At 51.6% G+C, this 25152-nt stretch overlaps 1 protein-coding gene and 1 pseudogene across 18 annotated transcripts, besides 3 other annotated features; both read left to right on the forward strand.

Moving 5' to 3' along the window:
• Positions 1-920: 920 nt before the first annotated feature.
• Positions 921-19143, forward strand: LRRC74B (leucine rich repeat containing 74B). 18 transcript variants are annotated; one of them, NR_027006.2, is made up of 11 exons: positions 921-1100; positions 2331-2473; positions 2859-4132; positions 4289-4431; positions 7224-7333; positions 8335-8450; positions 8783-8972; positions 10073-10151; positions 11908-12175; positions 15348-15552; positions 16699-19143. NR_027006.2 is itself a non-coding variant. In NM_001291006.2 (10 exons), the coding sequence occupies exons 1-9, from the start codon at positions 962-964 to the stop codon at positions 15501-15503; spliced, it is 1179 nt and encodes a 392-aa protein (NP_001277935.1). In that variant the 5' UTR covers positions 921-961; the 3' UTR covers positions 15504-15552; positions 16699-19143. The 18 variants fall into 18 exon arrangements, 7 of the variants coding, with proteins under 7 accessions (NP_001277935.1, XP_047297318.1, XP_011528477.1 ...); NM_001291006.2 differs by lacking the exons at positions 4289-4431; positions 8783-8972 and having other exon boundaries at positions 2859-2991; positions 3926-4132; positions 12080-12175; NR_110991.2 differs by lacking the exons at positions 4289-4431; positions 8783-8972 and having other exon boundaries at positions 11911-12175.
• Positions 7337-7850: an enhancer, noted in NCBI's record as "H3K4me1 hESC enhancer chr22:21406651-21407164 (GRCh37/hg19 assembly coordinates)". NCBI's record gives its function as "activates a minimal SCP1, AML or CMV promoter by ChIP-STARR-seq in naive H9 embryonic stem cells {active_cell/tissue: H9 hESC(naive)}" and the evidence as "EXISTENCE:reporter gene assay evidence [ECO:0000049][PMID:30033119]".
• Positions 7851-8362: an enhancer, noted in NCBI's record as "H3K4me1 hESC enhancer chr22:21407165-21407676 (GRCh37/hg19 assembly coordinates)". NCBI's record gives its function as "activates a minimal SCP1, AML or CMV promoter by ChIP-STARR-seq in naive H9 embryonic stem cells {active_cell/tissue: H9 hESC(naive)}" and the evidence as "EXISTENCE:reporter gene assay evidence [ECO:0000049][PMID:30033119]".
• Positions 10568-11100: an enhancer, noted in NCBI's record as "H3K27ac-H3K4me1 hESC enhancer chr22:21409882-21410414 (GRCh37/hg19 assembly coordinates)". NCBI's record gives its function as "activates a minimal SCP1, AML or CMV promoter by ChIP-STARR-seq in primed H9 embryonic stem cells {active_cell/tissue: H9 hESC(primed)}" and the evidence as "EXISTENCE:reporter gene assay evidence [ECO:0000049][PMID:30033119]".
• TUBA3GP (tubulin alpha 3g pseudogene) lies at positions 20442-25148 on the forward strand (annotated as a pseudogene).

A 25152-nucleotide genomic window follows, 5' to 3' on the forward strand; every position in this document is an offset into this window, starting at 1 on the left:
CTCCTGCTAGCTGCGGGCACATGAGTCAGCATGGCAGCTGCAGCCGCAGCTGAACAGGAGGCAAAGCAGGGCCCGAGCCAGGCCACGCCAGCCGCTGTTAAAGGGACACTTCCACTAAAGCAGGATCCAGCCTCCAACACCCAGCCTTCAGCCCCTAACCCCAGCTGCCCTGCACCTCCCACCCTCCCTACATTCTCTTTGCTGGGCCCTGGTGGCACACAGAAAACAGCAGCTCTGTCCCTGCCCTCTGGCCTCACTTCCTCCGGTGGGAGTGGACGTGGTGAGAGGATGGGGAAGGACAGCTGTTATCAGTGCTGTGAGAAGACGGCCTGAGGGCAGCAACAGCCCCGGGGGGGCTCTGAGTAAAGCTTCAGGAATAAGTGACTTCTGAGCTGACGCTTGCAGATTCTGAAGTTCAACAAGCAGACAAAGATGGGGATGGAGGTTCCCAGGGGAGCGAACAGCGTATGCAAAGGCCAGCGCATGCAAGAGAACTGAGAGCCACAGAGTGAGAGGGTGACCTGGCTCTGCGAAGTTCCCCAGGCCCTCCTGAAAAGCCATTCCCAAGTGCAGTGAAGAAAACACAAGCTCTGGAGTCAGGCATGTTTCCCATTCCATGAAAGGGGGGCGATGCTGGAACCGCCTAGGGGAGGCAGGGGGATAAACGCAGCAAGGCGCCCAATCCGGTGCATGGTCTGTGGCGCATGCAGTGTATCAGCCCGGGCGAGGAGCCTCAGCACAAGCCGGCCACAGTTTCTACGGCAACCGACAACACCGGGTTGCCGGGGCGACCGCCGCGGGAGAGCGCGTCGCTATTGGCTGTGGGGGGTGCCTGTTGCTGGACGGCACATTCGGTTGGTCAGCGCAGCCGCAGACTCCGCCCACAATCCCGGGCCGCGCTCTGGGCGCGGGGTCAAGCTGTCTCCGACTCAGTGTCTGAGACTGCGAGAGGGTCGTAACCATGAGGGGTTCCTGTGAGAGGTCTGGGGAGGATGAAGAGCAGAAAGAAGAGGCTATGGTGGCCTGTGGGCGTCTTTCAGGGGTCCCCGAGGCCGAGCAGGGTCCCGAGGCCAATTGGGACTCCGACCTGGAGACGGAAGGTGCTCGGGGGAGGGGGCAGGCCCGACTCCTCCCCTTTGGGGGTCTTCTCCCGCAGGGGTTGGGGGAGGCGGGCTGGGGCTAAGGCCAGCAGGGAACGTACCCGCCTGCGGGGCGCCTCCAGCCCCCTGCCTTCCCTTCATTGCTCCTGGAAGCATCAGGATAAAATGCAAAATCCCGCCAGACAGTGCACCAAGGGCTGTCCCACCCTGAAATGAAATCAGAGCCGGGTTTTCCCAATCCACAGGAAAAACTAAGCTAATGGATGTATGGAATTTAGAACTATCTCGGTTTTTTCTCCCGTAAAATGTTTACAAAACATTTGTGGCCTGCAATCCAGGTTAAAAGACACAGCATGCAATTTGGCATCAGACAGGCAGAGGCCTGACTCTGGCAGGATTAGCTACCACCACTAGCTGTGGGATGCTCAGCGCAGGCCAGCCATGACTTCTACTACAAACAACATTGGGTTGCTTGGGCTCATATTTATTAATAAATAAATATATAAATAAATTATTTATTTATTAGAGCCAGGGTCTTGCTCTGTCACCCGGGCGTCAGTGCAGTGGCAGGATAATAGCTCACTGCAGCCTTGAACTCTGCACTCTAGTGAGCCTTCTGCCTCAGCCTCCTGAGTAGCTGGGACTACAGGAGACCACCACGTCTGGCTAATATAAAAATTTTTTGGCTGGGTGGGGTGGCTCACGCCTGTAATCACAGCACTTTGGGAGGCCCAGGCAGGCAGATCACCTGAGGTCAGGAGTTCGAGACCAGCCTGGCCAACATGGTGAAACCCCGTCTCTACTGAAAATACAAAAAACTAGCCCAGTGTGGTGGTGGGCGCCTGTAATCCCAGCTACTCGGGAGGCTGAGGCAGGAGAATTGCTTGAACCTGGGAGGCAGAGGTTTCAGTGAGCCGAGATCGTGCCACTGCATTCCAGCCTGGGTGACAGAGCAAGAGTCTGTCTCGAAAAAAAAAAAAAGAAAATTTGTCTAGCTATGTTGCCCAGGTTGTCCAGCTTTCTTTTGATAGCCGTATGACTTTAAGGAAAAGATTTGCGTTGCCTGAGGCTTGATGTCCTCATCTGTCATATGGGAGCAGTGGTCCCAAGAAGCACAGGAAGCAGTGCTTCTAGAGGCAAAACATAGGCCAGGTAGTGACACAGGGCAGGGGAGGACACAGGTGGCTGTAGCTGTGCAGGGTCCACATTCGTCCCCCTGTCTCCTGCCAGGCACCGATGGGCTTGGAGAACTGGTCAGGGACACACTGTACCTGAGGTCTTGCCGGGCCCATAGTGTTGTGCCCATCTCCTGCTTTCTGCGCCAAGGGAGCGCCCAAGAGCTGAACCTCCGGCACCGTGGCCTGGGGCCCCAGGTACCACTGGAGGGACACTGTATCCAGGCTTACGGGGAGAGGCCTCGGGAGACAGCAGCCATGGGAGTGCCCCTGTGTCTGTCCCCTACACTCCCCAGCTTCTGCCTGTGTCAGTCATGCCCTACCCTCCACATCTGGGAGACAGATGGGATTGAGGCTGTGACAGGTGGCGTTAAGGGTTGTGGATCCTGCAGGCTCCTAACCCGCTGGGGGGTCAGGGAGAGCTGGGGGTGGGGGGAGACCTTCACAGAGCCTAAAAGGAGAAGCAGGTGTCACTTAAAACAGGTGGGAAGGGGAGGGCTTTCCAGCTGGAGGATGTGGAGTGGGCTGAGCCCTGGAGCATGAGCCAGGATAGTGGCCAGTGTGTTTGCTCTGTCTGTCCCAGGGCGCCCGGGCTCTGGCTTCCTCATTGAGCTCCAATCCATATGTCAAGCGGCTGGACCTTCGAGACAATGGGCTCTGTGGGGCAGGTGCAGAGGCCCTGGCAGGTGCCCTGAGCAAAAGCAGCAGCATCCATGGTAGGTGCTGGGTCTGGGGCAGGTGGGCAGGCGTGTCCTCCTTTTCCTCAGGGATGTGCCTCCATCGTTGAAAGCTGGGCCGTGTCACCTGGGGCCTGCTGGTGTTGCTGGTGGATAGAAGAGGGGCCTCATCACAGGAGGGGGCATGTGGGGTGGAGTTAGACCCTCTGCTGTGCAGCCGATGCCTGATAGAAGTCCTTTCCTCACCCACCCCACACCATCACTCCCCTCCCTTGCTGGCCAGCATCCCCCTCTTCACCTAGCACATGGGAGACTCCCAGTACCTGAATGCAGGATGGGAGAGTCCTTCCACACAGAGAGGTGGGAGTTGGGCATTGTAAGAAGCAGGTAGGCAATGTGGGAGTTTGATGGGGCTGGATCCAAATGCCAGTTCTGCCACTGAAGAGCTGGATACCTGGGCAAGCAGCTTAACCTCTCTGAGCTTCAGTTTCTGATCTGTGAAATGGCCCCCAAAATACCTTATGGGCTTGGGGCTGTGGTGAGCATGAAGTGAAATGCACTCCTGAAGTGGTCAGAAGAGTGTGTGACCCATGTACGTGCTCCATGCATGGCCACTTGGGCTATTATTGCCAATCCTGGCAACGGGGCTGTGAGGGCTTCTGAAGTGGGTGGTGATATCACTGCCAGATGCAGCCATCGACGGTATAGCTGCCCCCCACCACAGCAGTCTCTACAGTACCAGGAGGTAGGCGGTTTTAACCACTTGACACAGAAGCTGGTGGGCACACAGGGAGGGGGAGGTCAGGGGCAGAGGGGACCCAGCCATTGGGAGCCAGAGCCACCATGCAACCCCAGGACAGTTAACCTGTAAGTCCCCTTCCTCAGCCTCAGACCTGGAGGTTTGGGGGATGGCAGAAGTAGGGGAGTGCCTGGCTTTGCATCCCACTGGCCGAGGAGTGGTTCTGTCCCCCAGATGTGGACCTGTCGGAGAACCAGCTGGGAGTGGCAGGAGCCCAGGCCCTCTGTGCCGCCCTCACAGTGAACCAGGCCATGCGGAAGATGCAGCTGTCAGGGAATGGCCTGGAGGAGCAGGCGGCCCAGCACCTTGCCGAACTCCTGCTGGCCCACACAGACCTGAAGTCCCTGGACCTGAGCTACAACCAGCTGAATGACCAAGCAGGTAACGCCTGCGCAGGGCACCATGGCCATGAAAGCTCAGCTTCCTGGGGCAGGGATGGGTGGGGGTTGGCAGGACCGCGCTGCACATCGCCAGGGAGCATGTGCTCTGGTTCCTGCTCCCCACACCCCACCTTGCCCCACTCCTCTTCCACTCCAGCCACACGGAACTCTTCATTCCTTCCACAAATATCTCATTGCGCGCTGCTGTATGTGCTGGGCACTGACTTAGCCACCAGGGATCCACCTTGAACAAAACCAAGTTCCTGACCTCAAGGGACAATGTTAACAACATCATTCTGAGTAATTATTGGTGCTACAAAAGAAACAAATAGTTTATGATTCTAGAGAAGAACAGGGACCCCCTACTTTAAAGAGGTGGCTGGGGAGGCCTCTGTGAGGTGACATTTAAGCTGAAATGTGCAGGGTGGGAAGGAGTCAGCCATGGCAAGATCAGAGGGAGAGCATTGCAAGCAGAGGAATAGTGAGCATGCGGGCCTGTTTCCCAGACTGGCGGACAGCAGTGTGCCTAGGCTAGGGAGCCAGGGAAGCGTGGCCAGGCTGTGGGGTGGAGAGGGCAGAGGGGGCTGCAGGGCTGTAGGCCGTGGCAAAAACGGTGAAGATTTTGTTTCAAGTGAGGTAGCGGATGTGATTGGGATTCCTTGATCTCATCACTGTCATGCCCCTGAGCATATTCAGGAGCTGTCTGCTTTGCCAGGAATTTGCACTTCTACCTGCCTCTCCTCAAATGGTCCAATAATGGTAAGGATCACCTGAGACCCTGGGTTAGGCATGCAGATGCTGACCCTGGACCTGCTGAACCAAACTCTTAGGGGAATGCTGGTGAATCTGTATTTTAATGGTTGCCCCAGGAGAATCGTCTTTTTATTTTTTATTTTTTGAGACAGAGTCTCGCTCTGTCACCCAGGCTGGAGTGCAATGGTGTGATCTCTGCTCACTGCAGCCTCTGCCTCCCAGGTCCAAGCAATTCTCCTGCCTCAGCCTCCTGAGTAGCTGGGATTACAGGTGCGTGCGACAAGGCCTGGCTAATTTTTCTATTTTTAGTAGAGATGGGGTTTCACCGTGTTGGTCAGGCTGGTCTCGAACTCCTGACCTTGTGATCCGCCCGCCTTGGCCTCCCAAAGTGCTGCGATTACAGGTGTGGGCCACCGCGCCTGGCCGAGAATTGTTTTTCAGAAGCACTCCTCTGTCTCCAGCTGCTTAGAGCAAGTGGGGTGACATCAGCCTTGGCCTGTGAGAATTGCCTCTGGCATATAACTGCCAGAGAACCAGTTTGCCTTCTAAGAAAATTATTGCAAGAAGTCAGTGAAATTAAGTGAGGTGGCCGGGCCCGGTGGCTCACGCCTGTAATCCCAGCACTTTGGGAGGCCAAGGCAGGTGGATCATGAGGTCAGGAGATCGAGACCATCCTGGATAACACGGTGAAATGCCGTCTCTACTAAAAATACAAAAAATTAGCCGAGTGTGGTGGCAGGCGCCTGTAGTCCCAGCTACATGGGAGGCTGAGGCAGGAGAATGGCATGAACCCAGGAGGCGGAGCTTGCAGTGAGCCGAGATAGCACCACTGCAGTCCGGCCTGGGCGAAAGAGCGAGACTCTGTCTCAAAAAAAAAAAAAAAAAAAAAAAAGTGAGACTTGGCAAGGCACTGTGCCTATCTGTAATGCCAACACCACTTCGGGAGGCTGAGGGGCGAAGATTGCTTGAGGCCAGGAGTTAGAAACCAAACTGGGCAACATAGGGAGCCCCAGTGGTGACAACAAATGATTAAAAAAATTAGCCCCGGGCAACAGAGCGAGACTCCGTCTCAAAAAAAAAAAAAAAAAAAAAAAAAATTAGCCCCAAGTGGTGACATGTGCCTGTAGTCTCAGTCAGGAGGCTGAGGTGGGAGAATTGCTTGAGCCCAAGATGTCAAGGCTGCAGTGAGCCGTGATTGTCCCACTGCACTCCGGGTTGGGCAACAGGGTGAGACCGTGTCTTAACAACAACAAAAAATACTTTCTTTCCTCTTTAGTGCCTGTTTCCCTGTTATGATGTTAAAAGCAGGTACTGTGATGTGCAGCTGGTTTCTGGCTCTTCTGCAGGCGCTTTCTTGTGTGTATAAATGTTCGCTTTGGTGTTCCTGTGAGGGTTGTAGGATGACCGCTGGAGGGTTCTGTTCGGCCATGTTGCTCCGCCTTCATCTCTAGGTCTCGCTATTTTGCCCAGGCTGGTCTTGAACTCCTGGCGCCAAGAAATCCTTCTGCCTCAGCCTCCTGAGTCGCTGGGACCACAGGCTCACACCACTGCCTGGCTTTCACCTTCCTTTCTCTACCACCCCCATCTCCTCTCTACCACAGCTGTGCCAGCCCTGTTGCCTCTTGCCTAGCCTATGGCACCAGCCTTCCATCTGGTCCCCCAGCCTCTTGCCTCTGCCCCCACCCAGCCCAGTCTATCCTGGACACCTGCCACTTGCTGAAATGCTAATCCAGCCTCATCACTTCCTAAGGCCCTCCCTGACTCCTTGCCACTTGTATGTGCTGCCTAAGCCCCTTGGCTTGGCACACAAGGCCCCTCAGCATCTCTCAAGTGCCCATTACTCCTTCCTCACCTCACTGGCTTCCCCCTCCCCAGGCCCAGCTCCAAGCCTGCGTGCATTTCCACAGGTGCCTCTGCCATTTGCAGTTTCCTGTGTCTCCTCCCCACTGTGCATAAGCCTGTGTGCATTTCCACAGGTGCCCCTGCCATTTGCAGTTTCCTGTGTCTCCTCCCCACTGTGCATGCACACACCCCTGGGGAATTCCTCAGTCCTGAGTTATCTCCTCTGTCCTCTTTCCTGACTTCCCCCAAGACAGGCTGGCCACCACTCTGTTCTCACGCCTCCCCCTTTTAGTCTAAATGAATAGCTCACATCCCATACATTTGCATTTGTATCTCCCCCATGAAATGTGAGTTCCTTAAGGGCACCGCAGGCCCACATTAGTTTCATGTCTGTGACCCTCCTGCCCAGCAGAGGCTCGGCACGCAGTGGGCATCAGTGTGATCTTTTGAAGGAGTGAAGAGAGTGAGTCAGAAGGTCTCTCTTGGTGTTTCTGAAGGGGAGACACTTGGACCAGCCCTGGCAGAAAACACAGGACTCACCGAGCTTAACGTGAGCTGGAATCACCTCCGGGGCCCAGGAGCTGTGGCATTTGCCAGGGGACTGGAGGTATGAAGCCCCCACCTAGTCGGCCCTACAGCCTGTCTGCTGGGGCCTGTCTCCCAGGGGCCACCTCCCTGTCTCTGCAGCTCCTCGGAAATGAACCTTGGATCTTTTAAGCACAGCTTAAAGACTGTTTCTTTAGGTGATTTTAATTTTCCTGGCTTCACTTAGTGACCACAATACACTGTGCTCACCGTCACATACTTTCCTGAAGGGTCACTGTTGAATATCTTGCACCTTCCCCAGACACCATAGACACCCAGCTGGGAAGGGACATCTGTGCAGTCTGGTGACACATGCTCACTGTTGGGCATACGCAGGTGGTTTCCTGAGATGACACCTTGCACCCTTGGATGCCAGCACAGCCTCTCAAACACCCACCTGTTCCCTTCCATGTTGTGGTTCATAGGGCTCGGGAATGGGTGGCTCAAGCTGGTGCTAGGGTGGTACAAGGTGTCTGCAATGTCCCCAGTGCCAGATACCCTGTGGGGCCCTCCTCAGGCCATGGCAGCTGCTGTCTTGCCCTGATGCAGGGGCTGACCTTGGGGTCCTGCCCCACAAGATGGCATGTCACACTCTGTCTTGCCAGAGCACCTACCCTTCTCCCCATCACAGTACGCTGGACAGGTTTCATCCAACAGCTGTTCACTGGATCTTGGGATCCCTGCCCTCTAGAGCCATTAAGTGGGTGTGGAGTCCGATCAATGTTTCTGGGGCCTGCTGCTGCTCTGCACACGCCCCTCCCAGTCTCTCTGAGGGCCATTCACGTCTACACCGGTCCTTTCCTGTTGTGCTCTGGGCCACTGGGCTCTGTTGACCACCATCATCCAAGCTGCAGCCACCAGGGGGTCTGCATGGCACTTTCCTGACCCTTCCTTGGAGCCTCTCCCCTTCTGCCCTTTATCTCTTATCTTTGCACCTCAGGGCTCCTGGTCTCTGAGGCTGTGGCACCCTGGCTTGCTCCACTGTCAGATGGGGTCCCATGACTTCACTCTTTGGTATTCTAGGCAAACATCTTCCTTAAAGTTCTAGACATCTCATACAATGGCTTTGGGGATCCTGGAGCCTCTGCGGTGGGTGAGGCTCTGAAGGCCAACAACGTGTTGGAGGAACTCAACATGAGGTGAGGATCCCCGGGGGGACACCCCAGGAATCATGGGCTCCATGATCTTGCTGCTGAAGCACACAGTCTACCCGTGATGGGGATTCCCGTGATGGGGCTTGAGCCACAATCCCAGAGCAGCTCTGTCATCCTTATCACTGGAGTTTATAATTTTATTTATTTATTTAAAACAGCATCTTGCTTTATTGCCCAGGGTAGAGTGCAGTGCTGTGATCATGGCCCACTGCAGCCTTGGCCTTCCCAGCTCAAGCAATCCCACCACCTCAGCCTCCCAAGTAGCTGGGACTACAGGAGTATGTCACCAAGCCTGGCTAATTTTTTCTTTTTTGTAGAGACAGTCTCCTGCTGGCCTTGAACTCTTGGGCTGAAGCAGTCTTCCTGCCTCAGCCTCCCAAAGTGCTGGAATTACAGTCATGGGGAGTTCATCGTTGTTACATAGAGACCTGTGATTCCTATAGCACAGGCGGATGGCTGCGAATTGCACACGGTGTATAAAGCATCTCCGGCAGAGCCTGGTGCATGGTGGGTGCTCCATGCAAGCTTTCCTCCCTTGCAGAAGACGAGCCAGGGCCAGGTTCTGTGGCTCACAACTGTAATCTTAGCACCTAGGAAGGCTGAGGCGGGAGGATCCATTAAGGACAGGATTTTGAGACCAGGCTAGGCAATATAGCATGACTCCATCTCTATGCGAAATCTAAAAATTGTCCATTTCCGGTGGCATACACCTATCATTCCTGGTACTTGGGAGGCTGAGGCAGGAAGATTGCTTGAGCCGAGGATTCAGGATTTCAGGCTGCATTGCAACAGAGCGAGTAAAACGAGCCTAGTCTGGGTGGGGCAAGGCAGGACCCTGACAAGTGGGCCCCAGTGCCTGTTTTGCTCAGCATGTGGCTACTGGAGCATGCCCTGTGTGAGGGGCTCCTCCAGGCCAGGCAGCGTCCCAGCCTAGCCAGGAGGCACAAGCCCAGAGGGAAGAAAAGAGGCGGATGCCAGGGAGGTCACGGGCCAGAGGCCAGGGAGGTCATGGGCTGCTGTGGCTGAGACCCTCCCCAGGGGCAGCTCCCTGTGGGCAAGAAGGCCCCACTCAATCCTGCCCAGCTTTCCTCCCCATGGGAGGAGCTAAGACTGGAGGCAGCCGCGGAGGCTGAATACGGAGGTGCAGCCAGAGCTGGGGTCTGAGAAGTCAGAGAGAAGCGGGACTGACTCCGGAGACAAAGTGGTCCAGGGCGGTGCTGAGGACTGGAGTTTGGGAACGGCAGGAGGAGGAGAGGCCTTGAACATAAGCTAGGTGATTTTCTGGAACAGGCGTTGTAATGGTGATAGGCATGAGGTGTCAGCTGGGGCAGAATATGTGGGAGCACTTGCAGAGCTCAGAGGAGCGGCAGCTGGTGTCCACCAGGACAGGGACGCTTTAGGTGTGTTTGCCGTGTGATTCCTCTGAACGGTGTCATCTCCACCTTTTACCTGTTGATCTGTCCAGGGTTCCTGGGGTGTGAGTGGAGGGAACAAGAGACCCAACCTGGTGGCTGCAATGGCAGCTCCAGTGGGCACCCTGGGGCAGTGGGCTCTGCACCGCTGCTTGGAAGGTTGCACAATGCATGTGCCTGTTGTTTTTGTTGCAGTAACAACCGCATCTCTGCGATGGGAGCCCTGAGCCTGGGCCTGGGCCTCCGGGTCAACCAGACGCTGAGGATTCTTGTAGTGAGTGCTAGCCTGATGACTGAGACACCAGCACAGACCTGCCCTGTAACAGTCCACACAGATCCCTCCCCCACAGCCCCCACCCAGGGGCAGCAGGCAGGTGCACACAGGCTGGCTCACTCCCTTGCCACTCACCCTGAATCTGGGGCCTGGCCCTCCTCTTCTCCCCTTCATCCCTCCCAGCCTCTCTCCCACATCTTCTTGCTGCCCTTCCTCCTCTGTGGGCTGGGGTGCTGCTCTGCTGAAGGTGGCTGGGCACCCCTTGTGTCTCCCTCATCTTCTCCCCTGCCTTTCCTCTGGCCTTGCTGAGACCCAGGCCCCACCCAGGTGTTCTGTTGGCCACTGCTCAGGCCCACCTGAGGCCTGGTGTTCCCAGCTGGGGTTCCTTCCCCTGGGTTTGCAGGTGGGGAGGGAGTGCTGAGCAGGACAGGGAGCAGAAGACAGACACAGGAGGGAGGCAAGCCGGGAGCAGGTCCCCAGGGGACCACTGTGCCCACAGCAGGTACGTGCTGGGGGACAGTATTGCCAGCTGGGTATGGACATCCAGCTCTGTCGGCCCTCAGCTCCCCACCCTAGCCTTACTGGGCTTCTCCCATAGCTCTCCTCCCCTGCTTCCTGCCTCACAGGAACCTGGACCTCTCTGAAGCATAGACCTGCGTTTCGAGTCACCTCGTAGACAGTCCTCTAAATGTCCCAAAGACACGTGGGAATGTGAGAGTCCAACCTGAACGCATACCCCCCTCTAAGGGCCACCTCCTGGTGGGGGGCTCCTTCTTCCTTCTTCCCAAGTCACCAGCTGGGGCCCAGAGCCTGCCTGCCCCTCCCTTTTCCACACCCTCCCTCCCACCTTCTGCAGGGGCTCACCCTGCTGACTCCTCCCTCTTCTGACTTCCTCTCTTAGCTTCTGTGAACTTGCGGGATTCCTGGCTGCGGTTCTTTCTTCCCAGCTGCTACCCAGGACCAGAAACATGCCCTGCTTTAAAACTGTTGGAGTTTTATCCCCTCTGGATAAACCCAAGCTTTGAGTGCATCATGTCATGCGGAGCTAGGTGTGGTGGCTCACGCCAATAATCCCAGCACTTCGGGAGGCTGAGGCAGGCAGATCGCTTGAGGTCAGGAGTTTGAGCCCAGACTGACCAACATGGTGAAACCCTGTCTCTACTGAAAACAAAAAGATGAGCCAGATGTGGTGATGCACACCTATAATCCCAGCTACTCTGGAGGCTGAGGCAGGAGGATCCTTTGAACCCAGGAGGTGAAGGTTGCAGTGAGCTGAGATCTCACCACTGCACTCCAGTCTGGATGACAGAGCAAGACTCTGTCTCAAAAAAAAAAAAAAAGTAACATAGCATGTCATGGGGGATCTGGGCTCTGCCAGCCCCTCTCTTCCAAGTTCAGTGCTCTCACCCCAAGCTTGGAGCACACACACACACACACACACACACACACACACACACACACACACGGTACTATTTTTCACCCCTGCCTTTGTTCCTCTGCTGTTCTTGCTGAAGTGTCCAGCTCCGGCCACCTCACCTGGGAAGCTCCGCTGAGCCCTGCCCAGATACACCTCCCCTCCCAGCCTTTCCCTCCCAGGGGAGCTGGTGCACACTCACTCACTGCGCTGATCACACCACATTTCATGATGCTTCCTTTCCCTCCCCTCTCCCCAGCAGGCAAGTTCTTAAAGGCAAGGGTGTGTCTTGTGTGTCTATATCAATCGGAGGCCTCTCCCTTCCTTTCTTCCCTGACCCAGCAGCCTCACCAGAGCATTCTGTCTGACTATCTGATGGAGACACCTTCTGAGCCGAAACAGTGTGGCCATAGTGGCTGTGTCCTCAGAGATGAGGAGCCCCTCCTTCCCTTTCACATTGCTCTCTGGCCTTCCCGGACCTGGCTTCTCGCAGCTTTGTGTGCGTGTTTCTCAGGTGTCCAGGAATCCCATGCGAAGTGAAGGCTGCTTTGGTCTCCTCAAGTCTGTCCAGGACAATCCAGCCTCTGCCCTGGAACTGCTGGATTTCTCAGTAAGAGCATTTTATAAACCTCGTTTCTGATCCTCCCAGCAGCCCTGTGAGGTATCATAATTTTAGAAGAAGAAAGTGAGGGTTACAGAAATCAAGAGCCCTGCCCAGTTACACAGCGTGGCAGAAGCAGAGTTGCAACGGGACTTGAATGCAGGCATGGGGCCACTCAGCTCTGCCCGCTCCAGACTGCTGGTTCCACGGGATCTCACCTGGGGCACCTGCCTGGGTTCTTCATTGGCTGAGAGAGGATAAGTGGAGGTCTGGGCATGATGCTCCCTATCCACTGAGGTTTCGATCTGCAGGCGCAGCACCTGCAAGGCTGCCCTCTGCCCCTCCCCTGACTGTCTGCAGGTGGACTGTGGTGCTGGAAGCTTCACTTGAGTGGCTGTGAGAGAGATTAGGATCCCTTTTCATTCAATTTTGCCACTTTTTTTTTGAGTCAGGGTCTCACTCTGTCACCCAGTTGCAGTGCAGTGGTGTGATCGTAGCTCACTGCAGTCTCAAATTCCTTGGCTCAAGTGGTTCTCCTGTCTAAGCTCCCCAAGCAGCTGGAAGTACAGGTACAGGTCACCATACCTGGCTAAAGTTTTTAGAGATGGGGGCTTGCTATGTTGCCCAGGCTGGTTGCAAACTTCTGACCTCAAGTGATCCTGTGCCATGGTCTCTCATGTCTTGGGTCAATTTTGATTTTTTTTTTTTTTTTGAGACAGAGTCTCACTCTGTCGCCCAGGCTGGAGTGCAGTGGTGCTATATTGGCTCTCTGCAACTTCCGGCTCCCAGATTCAGGCAATTCTTCTACCTCAGCCTCCTGAGTAGCCAGGATTACAGATGTGTGCCACCACGCCCGGCTGATTTTTTTTTTTTTTTTGGTATTTTTTTTAGTAGAGATGGGGTTTCACCAGGTTGGCCAGGCTGGTCTCGAACTCCTGACCTCAGGTGATCCACCCACCTCGGCCTTCCAAGTGCTGGGATTACAGGCATGATCCATTGCGCCTGGCGAATTTTGATTTTTTTAATGTAGAAAAAGTGCCAGGTGAGATGGCTCACACCTATAATCTTAGCATGTTGGGAGGCTGAGGTGGGAGGATCCCTTGAAGCCTAGAGTTCAAGACCATCCTGGGCAACACAGAAAGGTCCCCATCTCTACAAAAAGCTTTTTAAAAAATTAGCCAGGCATGTGGCACATACCCGTAGTTTCGGGTACTCAGAAGACTGAAGCAGGAGGATCACCTGATCCCAGGAGTTTGTGGCTTCAGTGAGCTATGATTGTGCCACTGCACTCCAACCTGGGGAACAGGGCCAGATTCTGTCTCAAAAAAAAAGGGAAGGAAACAAAAAAAATTGAGTTACAAATCAGTGCTGATTCTAACCCTGATTTTTTTCAACCCAGACTTGAGTCAAAGCCTTTCCAGAAATGTGTCTGTGTAGTTTCAATTCTTCAGGTTTGGGACAACCGATGTCAAACGTCCTTACCATTTCCTTCTAATGGCCTGTTCTTGCCTTAACCATGTGCCTGCTGCTCTGAGAATTCCTGTCAGCACTGGATCTGTCATTCTAAAAGAAATAGAATGTCATATGGCATTATCCTGCCTGAATATACACTTACTTGTCACAATGTATGGTCATTATCAGAAGCCCCTAGTCTTGTGGGAATGCCATGGGCTTTGGAATCAGTTCAGGGTTGGGACCAAATCCTGTGTCTATCAATGTGAGATCCTGGACAAGATTCTGAGTCAAAGAATCATAAACGATCAATCAATAACAAGCCTGGGATGGGCATGATGGTTCACGCCTATAACCCCAGGACCTCGGGAGGCCAAGGCAGGTGGATCACCTGAGGTCAGGAGTTCGAGACCACCCTGGCCAACATGGCAAAACCTGTCTTTACTAATAATACAAAAATTTGGCCGGAGTTGGTAGCTCATGCCTGTAATCCCAGAACTTTGGGAGGCCGAGGCAGGCAGATCACCTGAGGTCAGGAGTTCGAGATCAGTCTGGCCAACATGGTGAAACCCTGTCTCTACTAAAAATACAAAAATTAGCCGGGCATAGTGGTATGCACTTGTAATCCCAGCTACTCAGGAGGCTGAGGCAGGAGAATCACCTCCAGGAGAACCCAGAGGCAGAGGTTGCAGTGAGCCGAGATCGTGCCATTGCACTCCAGCCTGAGCAACAAGAGTGAAACTCTGTGTTGTAAAAGATAGAAGAAAAATTAGCTGGATGTGGTGGTGCTCACCTGTAACCTCAGCTACTCGGGAGGCTGAGGCAGGAGAATCGCTTGAACCAGAAAGCGGAGGTTTCAGTGAGCCGAGACCATGCCAATGCATTCCAGCCTGGGTGACAGAGCGAGACTCTACCTCAAAAAAACCCAAAAAACAAAAAAACAAAGAAAAACAATTAGCCTGAATTGAATATTCTATCTTCTATTCCTTAACTGTTGTTATCTGTTATCACTAGTATAATCTGACTAGCCCAGATTTTATTCTGAGCTTTGAGGGAAATAGTTTTGAAGACTTATAGTTCAAGGAAAATCTTTCCCTAGGCTCAGACTTGTGTTTTTGTGAAATGGGGCTAACGTCTACCCCGCAAGGCCATCATGAACATAAGCTGAGATGACAGACCTAAGGGAAAGGCCTTGCACAGAGAAGGACTCCATCAGTGCCAGTTCTGTTCTTCACAACCCCTTGGTTTTTTGTTTTTAATTGAGGAACAACATCTATGCTGAAAAATGCACAAAGATTAAGCATAGAGCTTGGAGAATTTTCACAAACAGCATAGGTGTCTATGTAACCAGCCCCCAGATCTGGAAATACAGCATAGCCGGGCATGGTGGTGGGCACCTGTAGTCCCTGCTATTCTGGAGGCTTAAGCAAGAGGATAGATAGCTTGAGTCCAGGAGCTCAGGGATGAAGTGAGCTATGATTGAGCCACTGCACTCCAGCCTGGTGACACAGTACGATCCCATTTCTAAATAAATAAATACAGCAGGCCTCTAAACATCCCCCATTGTCCCCTTCTCTCCTGGATCTTACTAGTTTGCGGGTATGAGACTGTCATCCACAGGGGAGAAGCTGCCCGAAGGAGCTTCTCTGAGACCTTGCGTGTGTGAGTGAAAAATGGTGAAGTTCTCAGATAGTAACAAAGTTCATCCTTGTAATGGGTGTCTCCTTAGGATATCCAGGTGAACGCAGAGTTTGATGGCCTTGCTAGCTCAGTGAGGGGAATTCTTCCAGAACTCTGCATAAAGACTGGCGCTTGCAGAGTGGAGTATAAAAAGGAGTTGCTGCCAGTCTTCAGATCAGCCCTGCCAGCGTCTGTCCCTAAGTGACCTTGGAGTGTGGCTTCCTCATCTCCAATCAGCTGCTTTGACCTCCAGGGTGAGGAGCTCTTTGACTCACGAGGCCTTGTTACCACTTGTGTCTGCACTGAGTCCTCACGTCAGCCGTGTGCTAAGTCCACACGGTGCTCACACACCTGTACCCTCCTCTGTGCCCCACGGACCCTGCACTCATCTGGGCCTTCATGTGCTCTCACTCATTCCTGTCACACAAACCCCTACTAAGTACTGCACATTGAACTGGGCATGGTATCCAAGATGCCCAAGCAAGTCCCTGCCCTCCCCATGTTCATGTTCTGGTGACCTCAGGAAACTATTAAAATGTAAGGAGGGGTGCACACTCTACTTTTGAGAATGCAAACGGGCACAGCCTTTTTGGAAGGCAGTTTATCATCATGCACTGAGAGCCTCAAAACTGCCTGTGCCCTTTGATACAATCATTTGACTAATGTGCTCTAGAGAAATAACCAGAGATGTATAAAAGATTGATGCCTAAAGATGCTCATGGGGCCGGACGCGGTGGCTCACACTTGTAATCCCAGCCCTTTTGGAGGCCTAGGTGGGTGGATCCCTTGAGGTCAGGAGTTTGAGACCAGCTTGACAAACATGGTGAAACCCCAGCTGTACTAAAAATACAAAATTAGCCAGGCATGATGGCGCACACCTGTAATCCCCGCTACTCAGGAGGCTGAGGCAGGAGAATTGCTTGAATCCTGGAGGTGGAGGCTGCAGTTCTCACCATTGCACTCTAGCCTGGGCAACAAGAGCAAAACTCTGTCTCAAAAAAAAAAAAGATGCCCATGGAAATGCTGTTTATCATAATGAAAATTGGAAGTGTCCCCAATAACGGGATTGGCCAATTAAAATTTGGATATGTTAAATGTTAAAAGCCACATGCTCAAAGAACACTTAACCATTCATGAAAATACACATGATTAATGTTCAGTGAGAAAATTGGGAAGAAAAAAATCACATGGCAGCTGGGTGCAGTGGCACGTGCCTGTAGCCCCAGCCATTCAGAGGCTGAGGTAGGAGGATTGCTTGAGCTCAGGAGTTGGAGACCAGCTGGGGCAATACAATAAGACCCTGTCTTTAAAAATCAATCAGTCAATCACATGGCTTGTCTGACAGTTCCTCAAAAGCTTAATCATAGAATTACCGTATAACCCATTATTTCCATTCCTAGGTATATACTTGAAAGAAATGAAGACATATGTCCCCACAAGAACTCGTGCATGAATATCCATAGCAACATTATTTATAATATTCTAAGAGTGAAAATGCCCACCAGTGGATAAATGCAATGTGGTATATCCATACAGTGGAATATTATTTGGCAATAAAAAGGAATTTGAGGTGATACCAATGTTCTAAAATGTATTGTGGTGATGGCTACGTAACTGTGCATATTCTAAAGGCAATTGAATTACAGATGCTTTACATGAATGAACCGTATGGTATGTGAACGGCATCTCAATAAAACTGTTTCGAAAAGAAGGAAAAGGACGGACACATGCTGAAAACGGGTGAAACTAGAAAACATGGCGCTAAGTGAAAGAAGCCAGCCACAAGATCACGTGTCGCATGACCGCATTTATGTGAAACATCCGGAGTATGCAAATCTATACAGACAGAAAGTAGATTATACATTGCCTAGGTGCAGAGAAATGGAAGTATTGGAGGTTGACGGCTAAAGGATGTGGATTTCTTTGGGGGGTGATAAAAGTGTTCTAAAATTGATTGTGGTGATGTGCGACTCTATGAATACGCTAAAAACCGCTCGATTGTACATTTTAAATGGGTGATTTATGCGGTATGTGAAATACATCTCAAGAAAGCTGCTGCAAAAAATATCATACGGGTTGAGCCTAGTGGTATTAAAAAAGTATAAATATGGCCAGGCGCGGTGGCTCACGCCCATAATCCCAGCACTTTGGGAGGCCGAGGCGGGCGGATCACGAGGTCAGGAGATCGAGACCATCCTGGCTAACATGGTGAAACCCCGTCTCTACCAAAAATACAAAAATTAGCCGGGTGTGGTGGTGGGCGGCTATAATCCCAGCCACTCGGGAGGCTGAGGCAAGAGAGTTACTTGAACACAGAAGGTGGAGGTTGCAGTGAGCCAAGCTCACTTCACTGCACTCCAGTCTGGGTGACAGAGCAAGACTCGGTCTCAAAAAAAAAAAAAAAAAAAAAAAGGAAGAATCAGGCTCAGCGCACTGGCACATGCTTATAATCCCAGAAATTTGGGAGGCCAAGATGGGAGGATCACTTGAAGCCAGGAGTTCCAGACCAGCCTGGGCAGCATCGTGAGACCCCCGTTTCTACAAAAAACATTTAAAAATTAGCTGGGCATGGTGGCATGTGCCTGTCGTTCCAGCTACCTGGGATGCTGAGGTGGGAGGATCACTCAAACCTGGGAGTTTGAAGCTGCAGTGAGCCATGATTGCACCACTGCACTCCAGTCTGGTTGAGAGAGTGGGAACCTGTCTCGAAAAAAAAAAAAAAAGAATGGAAGGATCAAACTGGGCATGGTGATGCATGCTTGCCTGTAGGCCCAGCCTACAAGGGACGCTGAGGCAGGAGGATCATTTGAGCCTGGGAATTTGAGCCCAGCTTGAGCAACATAGTGAAATCCTGTCTAAAAAAGAAAAAAAGGAAGAATCAAATAATTGTTCCAAAGTCTTTCAAAAGGAGTATTGAGTCCCAACTCGGCACTTTCCTGAGCAGGGATATGTCTCCTCTCCTTCTCACTAAGGAGCCAGAAACTCACCCCTTCTCACTAAAAAAGTGAGAAAAATAAAAATAGCTCAGAGAACTTTGAGCTATGTGAGGCACGCAGAATTTATCAGGTCCGGAGACATGAATATGGGACTTCAGGCAGGGCATGATGGCTCACGCCTGTAGACTCAGGAGGCCAAGGTGAGCCCAAGGTGGGAGGATCACTTTAGTCCAGGAGTTTTGAGACCAGCCTGGGCAACATCAGGAGATCCTTGTCTCCTCAAAAACTTAAAAAAAAAAAAAGCTGGGCATGGTGGCACACACCTGTGGTCCTGAGTCAGGAGGTTGAGGCTGCAGTGAGCTATGACCATACCAGTGCATTCCAGCCTGGGTACACAGCGAGACCCTGTCTCAAAATAATAATAACAATAATATGCTGGGTGCAGAGGCTCATTCCTGTAATCCCAGCTCTTTGGGAGGCTGAAGTGGGTGAATCACTTGAGGTCAGGAGTTCGAGACTAGCCTGGCCAACATGGTAAAACCCTATCTTTTCTAAAAATACAAAAATTAGCCAGGTATGGTGGTGCATGCCTGTAATCCCAGCTACTTGGGAGGCTGAGGCAGGAGAATCGCTGGAGCCCGAGAGGTGGAGGTTGCAGTGAGCCGAGATCATGCCACTGCACTCCAGCCTGGATGACAGAGCAAGACTCTGTCTCAAAACAAAACAAAACAAAACAAAAAAATAATAATTATAATAATGAAAAGAAAAAGAAATGAATATGGGACTTCAGTAACATATTTCTTATCCATGCCCGGGGGCAATTGTTTAAAGGCATTTTGTTCCTGACTAGCTTAACCCATTATCTTCCTGTTTCTGGAATTTATGATACAAAGAATAATGTATAGACAACCAATAGCTTATGTCGTTTTAATATAAATTCTTGTGGCCAGGGAAGCTGAAGTGATAGGATTGTTTGAGGCCAAGAGTTGAAGACCAGCCTCAGTGAGACCCATCTCAATTTTTTAAAAAAGAGCAATTCTTGGTAAACCACTTAGGAACTGCCTCTTCTTTTCTCTTAAAAACAGCATCTCTGGCCAGGTGCAGGGGTTCACACCTGTAATCCCAGCACTTTGGGAGGCTGAAGCAGGCAGGTCGCCTGAGCCCAGGGGTTTGAGACCAACCCTGAGAACATGGTGAAACCCTGTATCTACAAAAAATACAAAAAATTAGCTGGGCAAGGTGGCACATGCCTGTAGTCCCAGCTATTCGGGAGGCTGAGGTGGGAGGATCACCTGAGCCTGAGGAGGTTCAAGGCTGCAGTGAGCCATGATCTCACCACTGCACTCCAGCCTGGGCAACAGAATGAGACGTTGTCTCAAAAAATAAAATAGGCTGGGCACGACGGCTCACGCCTGTAATCCCAACACTTTGGGAGGCCGAGGCGGTGGATCACGAGGTCAGGAGCTCGAGACCAGCCTGACCAACATGGTGAAATGCCGTCTCTACTAAAAATATAAAAATTAGCCAGGCATGGTGGCACGTGCCTTTCCCAGCTACTCAGGAGCCTGAGGCAGGAGAATCGCTTGAACCTGGGAGGCGGAGGTTGCAGTCAGTCGAGATCCTGCCACTGCACTCCAGCCTGAGCTACAGAGCGAGACTCCGTCTCAAAAAAAAAAAACAAAAATAAAAAAACAAAAGAAAAACAAAATGAAAAACAAAATAAATAAAATAAAATAAAATAAAAACAGCATTTTGTAACTGCTGCTAATTAAGAGTGTATATTCAAAGCAACTTGAATCTCCGCTCCAGGGCTGAAGGTCTTAAATGTGGCAATAATAAACTTTTTTTTTTTTTAAGAGCTCTGTCACTCAGGCTGGAATGCAGTGGCACAATCACAGCTCACTGTAGCTTTGAACTCCTGGGCTCCAGCAATCCTCCCACCTTGGCTTTCCAAAGGAAAAGGGATTACAGGTGTCAGCCACCTCACTCAGCCTTCTCCCTTCTATTTACCTTCTCCCTTCTATTTTAGTTTGTTATTCTCCCCTTTTAAGAGCTTCTTCCTTATAGGTTTAACCCTGATAGGCAGACACACTTTGTTCTCATTCTCTTTTTTTTTTTCTGTCACCACAGAATATTTTGCATGCCATAGAGTTTCAAACTGTCTTGAAATGAACGGGTTCACATTTATGTTCTGGTTCACAGAGTGAGTATCTCTATCCACGTGGGGCAGGCAGGTGTCCAGATAGGCAACGCCCGCTGGGAACTGTACTGCCTTGAACTTGCAATTCAGCCTGACGGTCAAATGCCAAGTGACAAAACCATCGGTGGTGGGGATGACTCCTTCAACATGTTCTTCAGTGAGATTGGGGCTGGCAAGCACGTGCCCAGAGCAGTGTTTGTGGACCTGGAGCCCACTGTGGTTGATAGGTCCTCGGGCACTGGATGGCAGCTTTCCTGGGAGAGTGGGAGAGCATTGGTAAAACCCCACGTGCGCTCCTGTGAATCCCCCTGCAGAATGGATGGGATAGACAAGCAAATGCCCATGGCATTGTTAGGGCGGAAACTGAAAGTTTCATGTTTAGTGTATGTGAGACTCAGCTCCTAATTTAGGATGTATGGGAAAAGCTGCTTTGCCAGCAGTAAGATGGGCTGTGGAGAGATTCCCCTGTGGCTGCCTCAGCCCTGCACAGGTGGCCCTGCCTGCAGGGTGTGGGGCATTGATTCCCTCCTGAATGCTGTGCACTGTCTCATGCTGGTGCATGAAGAGTCTTGATGTGCATCTTAGGCGTAGAAGGTAAGTACAGAACATCCATTTCCTTCATCCAGATTAGAAGTCCCAGATAGTTTCCAAAGAGAGCTGCAAAGAGATAGTACCTTTCAGTGTCCCCCAGGAGGTGACAATGTCACCTGAAAGCACGTGGGACCCAGGCCACACAGGTTGATGGGACTGCCCTTCAGAAGTCACACTGACCTGGTGACTGTCCAGTTTGTAAGAGATTTTTAACTTACAGCCTTTGATGTAGTAGCTAAGGGTAGGAAAGATGTATGTACCTGTAGAATTACCAGTGCTGGGGGACGATGCGAGAGCTTATTTCCCTTCACTGGGAACTGTTTATGCTGACATTTATTTATGTATTTATTTATTTATTTATTTATTTATTTATTTATTTATTTAGAGAAAGATTCTTGCTCTGTTGCCCAGGCTGGAGTGCAGTGGCACGATCTCGGCTCACTGCAACCTCCGCCTCCTGGGTTCACGCCGTCCTCCTGCCTCAGCCTCCCAAGTAGCTGGGACTACAGGCGCCCGCCACCACGTCCAGCTAATTTTGTTTTTGTATTTTTAGTAGAGATGGGTTTTCACCGTGTTAGCCAGGATGGTCTCGATCTCCTGACGTCATGATCCGCCCGCCTTGGCCTCCCAAAGTGCTGGGATTACAGGCGTGAGCCACCGCGCCCGGCCTGTGCTGACATTTATACAAGAACTGACTTTAACTTCCTAGGGCCTTAAATTGCATTTGTGATTGGTTATCACAGAGACATTTTCTACCAGACACCGCCACTGTTGACCTACAACATGTAGCTCATGTACTTTGAACAGCATGTACTTTGTAGAAGTGAACAGTCCTGGAACGTGTTCACCTTGGTGTACAGTAGGCCTTAAAGACTCACAGCACATGTGGTCTCTTTGTAGGTGAAGTGCACACAGGGACCTACAGGCAGCTCTTCCACCCAGAGCAGCTGATCAGTGGGAAGGAAGATGCAGCCAATAATTACTCCAGAGGCCATTATACCATCGGCAAGGAGACCTTGTCCTGGACCGGATCCACAAACTGGTAAGAAGAGAAGGCTTCATGTGGACGTTGTCCTGCACAGGAGAATAGGCCTTGGATGGTGAAAGGAAGGTCATTTTCGCAGCACTTAGAGCAGCATCTTGAGTCCGACTAAGTCTGCAACGTCTTACTATGAAGTATGCGTGGTGATTTGTGCATAGATCTGTATTGTCTGCTTTTCTCTGCTTCAAAGTGTGATGCGTGTTCATTATGGATAGTCTGAATCCGTAGCAACTCTCAGAGGCAAAGAGAAGTGGCCCCGGCTTGGTGGAGGTTGGTGGTGTGGCTCCCACGGGCATTGGCTCACATTGTCTGGTTTCTCTCAGGCTGATCTGTGCATGGGACTGCAGGGCTTCCCCATCTTCCACAGCTTTGGGGGCGGCACCGTCTCTGGGTTCATGTCTCTGCTCATGGAGCGGCTCTCGGTGGACTACGGGAAGAAGTCCAAGCTGGAGTTTGCCATTTGCCCAGCCCCCCATGTCTCCATGGCTGTGATGGAGCCCTGCAACTCCATCCTGACCACCTACACGACCCTGGAACATTCTGACTGTGCCTTCATGGTCGACATGTCAGTGCAACCTGGACATCGAGTGTCCCATGTACACCAACCTCAGTCGTCTGATTGGGCAGATCGTGTCCTCCATCACGGCCTCCCTGTGATTCGTTGGGGCCCTGAATGTGTACTTGACAGAATTCCAAACCAACCTGGTGCCGTACACCCACATCCACCTCCCCCTGGCCACCTATGCCTTGATCATCTCAGCCGAGAAGGCCTACCACGAGCAGCTGTCCGTGGCCGAGATCGCCAGTGCCCACTTCGAGCCAGCCAATCAGATGGTCAAGTGTGACCCTCACCATGGCAAGTACATAGCCTGCTGCATGTTGTACCGAGGGGATGTGGTCCCGAAAGATGTCAGTGGGGCCATCGCCACCATCAAGAGCAAGCGCACCATCTAGTTTGCAGGTTGGTGCCCGACTGGATTGAAGGGAGGACTGGGTGATGTGGAGTCCTTGTGCCATCAGGAAGCAGCAGATCTGCAGAATAATGCTGCCCCCAAAGGCCCGCATCCTTTGCGGTTGCTTGTCTGGAACCGTCACCCTGCCCCTGTTCCATGGGCTAGGCTCATGGGCATAAATCAATGAACCAGAGTGATAATTAATTCAGTGGTGTCTTTTGAACTTCCTTTGTGAGTCATCACACTATGTATCTGTGGTGAGGTTTTTGTGTTTTTTTAAGAAAAAGGTATTTTTTGGAGGATTTTGGTGCCCCTTGCTTGGACAGCAGAATTTGTGTGGAAAAGATAGGTTGAACTTAGTAGAAATTTTATGGGCATTTTGGGGAATCATGTGGGTGGTGTATATATTTTAACTTGGGCATTATTATAAACTGCTCTCACTAAGTCTTGCTTCATCTAAGTATGTCCAGGTTGTGCCGACATGTGTCATAGGTGGCTTCGTTATCACCCATGAAGGCACAGTCAGAATGTTCATCTGTAGAAATTATACCCAATTTAAATGTCTTTTGGAGTGTTTGATTTAAAGAAAGACTATCAAGAATCTTTTTGTGACGAAAACAGCACCATCTTTATTTCTCTTTTGGGAAGCCTAGTAATGTTGGCCTGTGTTTGCCTCAGACAGAAAATCTGTCCCCACCTTCCACTGACACATGAAAGAAACCTTGCTGTCCCCTTTCAGCTTTTCCAGGAGTTGGTGACTAAATCCTGTCGCTTCTCCCTCTGCTGGACCTCTGCGTCCTCTGCTTTGCTTTCCCTCCCTCCTCTGGCTCAGACATCCACTGCCTCTGGGGAGACCACTGCAGTCAGCTCTAAGTGGGAATTCCTACTCTGGGCTTCTCCTTCTCTCCTTCAGGGGTGAGCATGGCTGCTGGACTAGCCGCCCAATTTTGTAAATAAGGTTTTGTCTGAACACAGCCACCACACCCCTTCATCGCAGATCAATTTTGCTGTCCAGCCTCAGAGTGGGGTAGGTGTGACAGAGTCCATGTGCCTGTAAGGCCTAGAATTTGTATGATCTTGTCACTTATAGAACAGGCTTGCTGACCCCTGCTCTAGTTGACCCCATGCACTACTCAGGATGTGTTATTCTCAAGTTCTGAAACTTGGAATGCTTCCCTTTTGGTTCCCACCTTGGAATGTCACTTCCTACTCAAGCAAGCACATGGACTACTCTTGCTGCTGTGGTAGCTCCATTCAAGTGATCTTTGACCTGTCACCTTTGCATATTTCACAGTGGCTTGTTTGGTGGGACAGCAGGGGGTATGACCTTCCCCGTGGTATCACAGTTGTGTACTCACAATCTATCTGGGTGGAAAAAGTTGAGCTACAGAATTTCATTACTATCTTGTAAAACCCTTTGGAGTAAATAATCTATAAAGAAGACAAGTAGTGTACATTTTCAGAGGGAAGACAGTCTTTACCTGGGCACCTATCACATGTCACAGTTGCTAGGACACAGCCCTTCGGGCAGCTTGGGATCCTGCCAGGGTGGCCACCTCCAAGGCTCTTTTCTCTTTATTCCTTGGCTGGAACCGTCACCCTGCCTGGCACAGAGAAGGGCTTAGTGAGGTTTGTGGGGGTGAACTGAGCATTCTCCTCGTCACCTACAGGGGGTCTTCTGTTTGAGGAAAGGTAGCCACCATTTCTAGGTTTGATACAAGCTTCACGGACCGCTTTCTTGCCCTTCTCTGGCAGGTGGGCATTAACTACCAGCCCCTGACGGTGGTCCCTGGGGGAAACCTGACCAAGTTGCAATGGGCCATGTGGATGCTAAGCAACATCACAGCCATCACCAAGGCCTGGGCCTGCCTGGACCATAAGTTTGATCTCATGTATGCCAAGCAGGCCTTTGTGCAATGGTACATGGGGGAAGGCATGGAGGAGGGGGAGTCCTCTGAGGCTCGCAAGGACCTGGCAGCTCTGGAGAAGGATTATGAAGAGGTGGGCATGGATTCTGTGGAAGCGGAGGCTGAAGAAGGCAAAGAATACTGAGGGGAGGGTGTGGTGGGCTCTCCTGCCGCCCCCAGCATGGCTGCTTTCAGGTTGTTTGCAATTAAAGTTTCTCTATAAAA

Source organism: Homo sapiens, chromosome 22 (genome assembly GCF_000001405.40).
Source record: "Homo sapiens chromosome 22, GRCh38.p14 Primary Assembly".
In the NCBI taxonomy this organism is placed as follows: domain Eukaryota; kingdom Metazoa; phylum Chordata; class Mammalia; order Primates; family Hominidae; genus Homo; species Homo sapiens.

Coding starts and splice junctions, on each gene's coding strand:
- LRRC74B (NM_001291006.2), top strand. CDS start 962: ATGAGGGGTTCCTGTGAGAGGTCTGGGGAGGATGAAGAGCAGAAAGAA. Junction 2,474..2,858: donor ACCGTGGCCTGGGGCCCCAG/GTACCACTGGAG, acceptor TGTCTGTCCCAG/GGCGCCCGGGCTCTGGCTTC. Junction 10,152..12,079: donor AGACGCTGAGGATTCTTGTA/GTGAGTGCTAGC, acceptor CGTGTTTCTCAG/GTGTCCAGGAATCCCATGCG.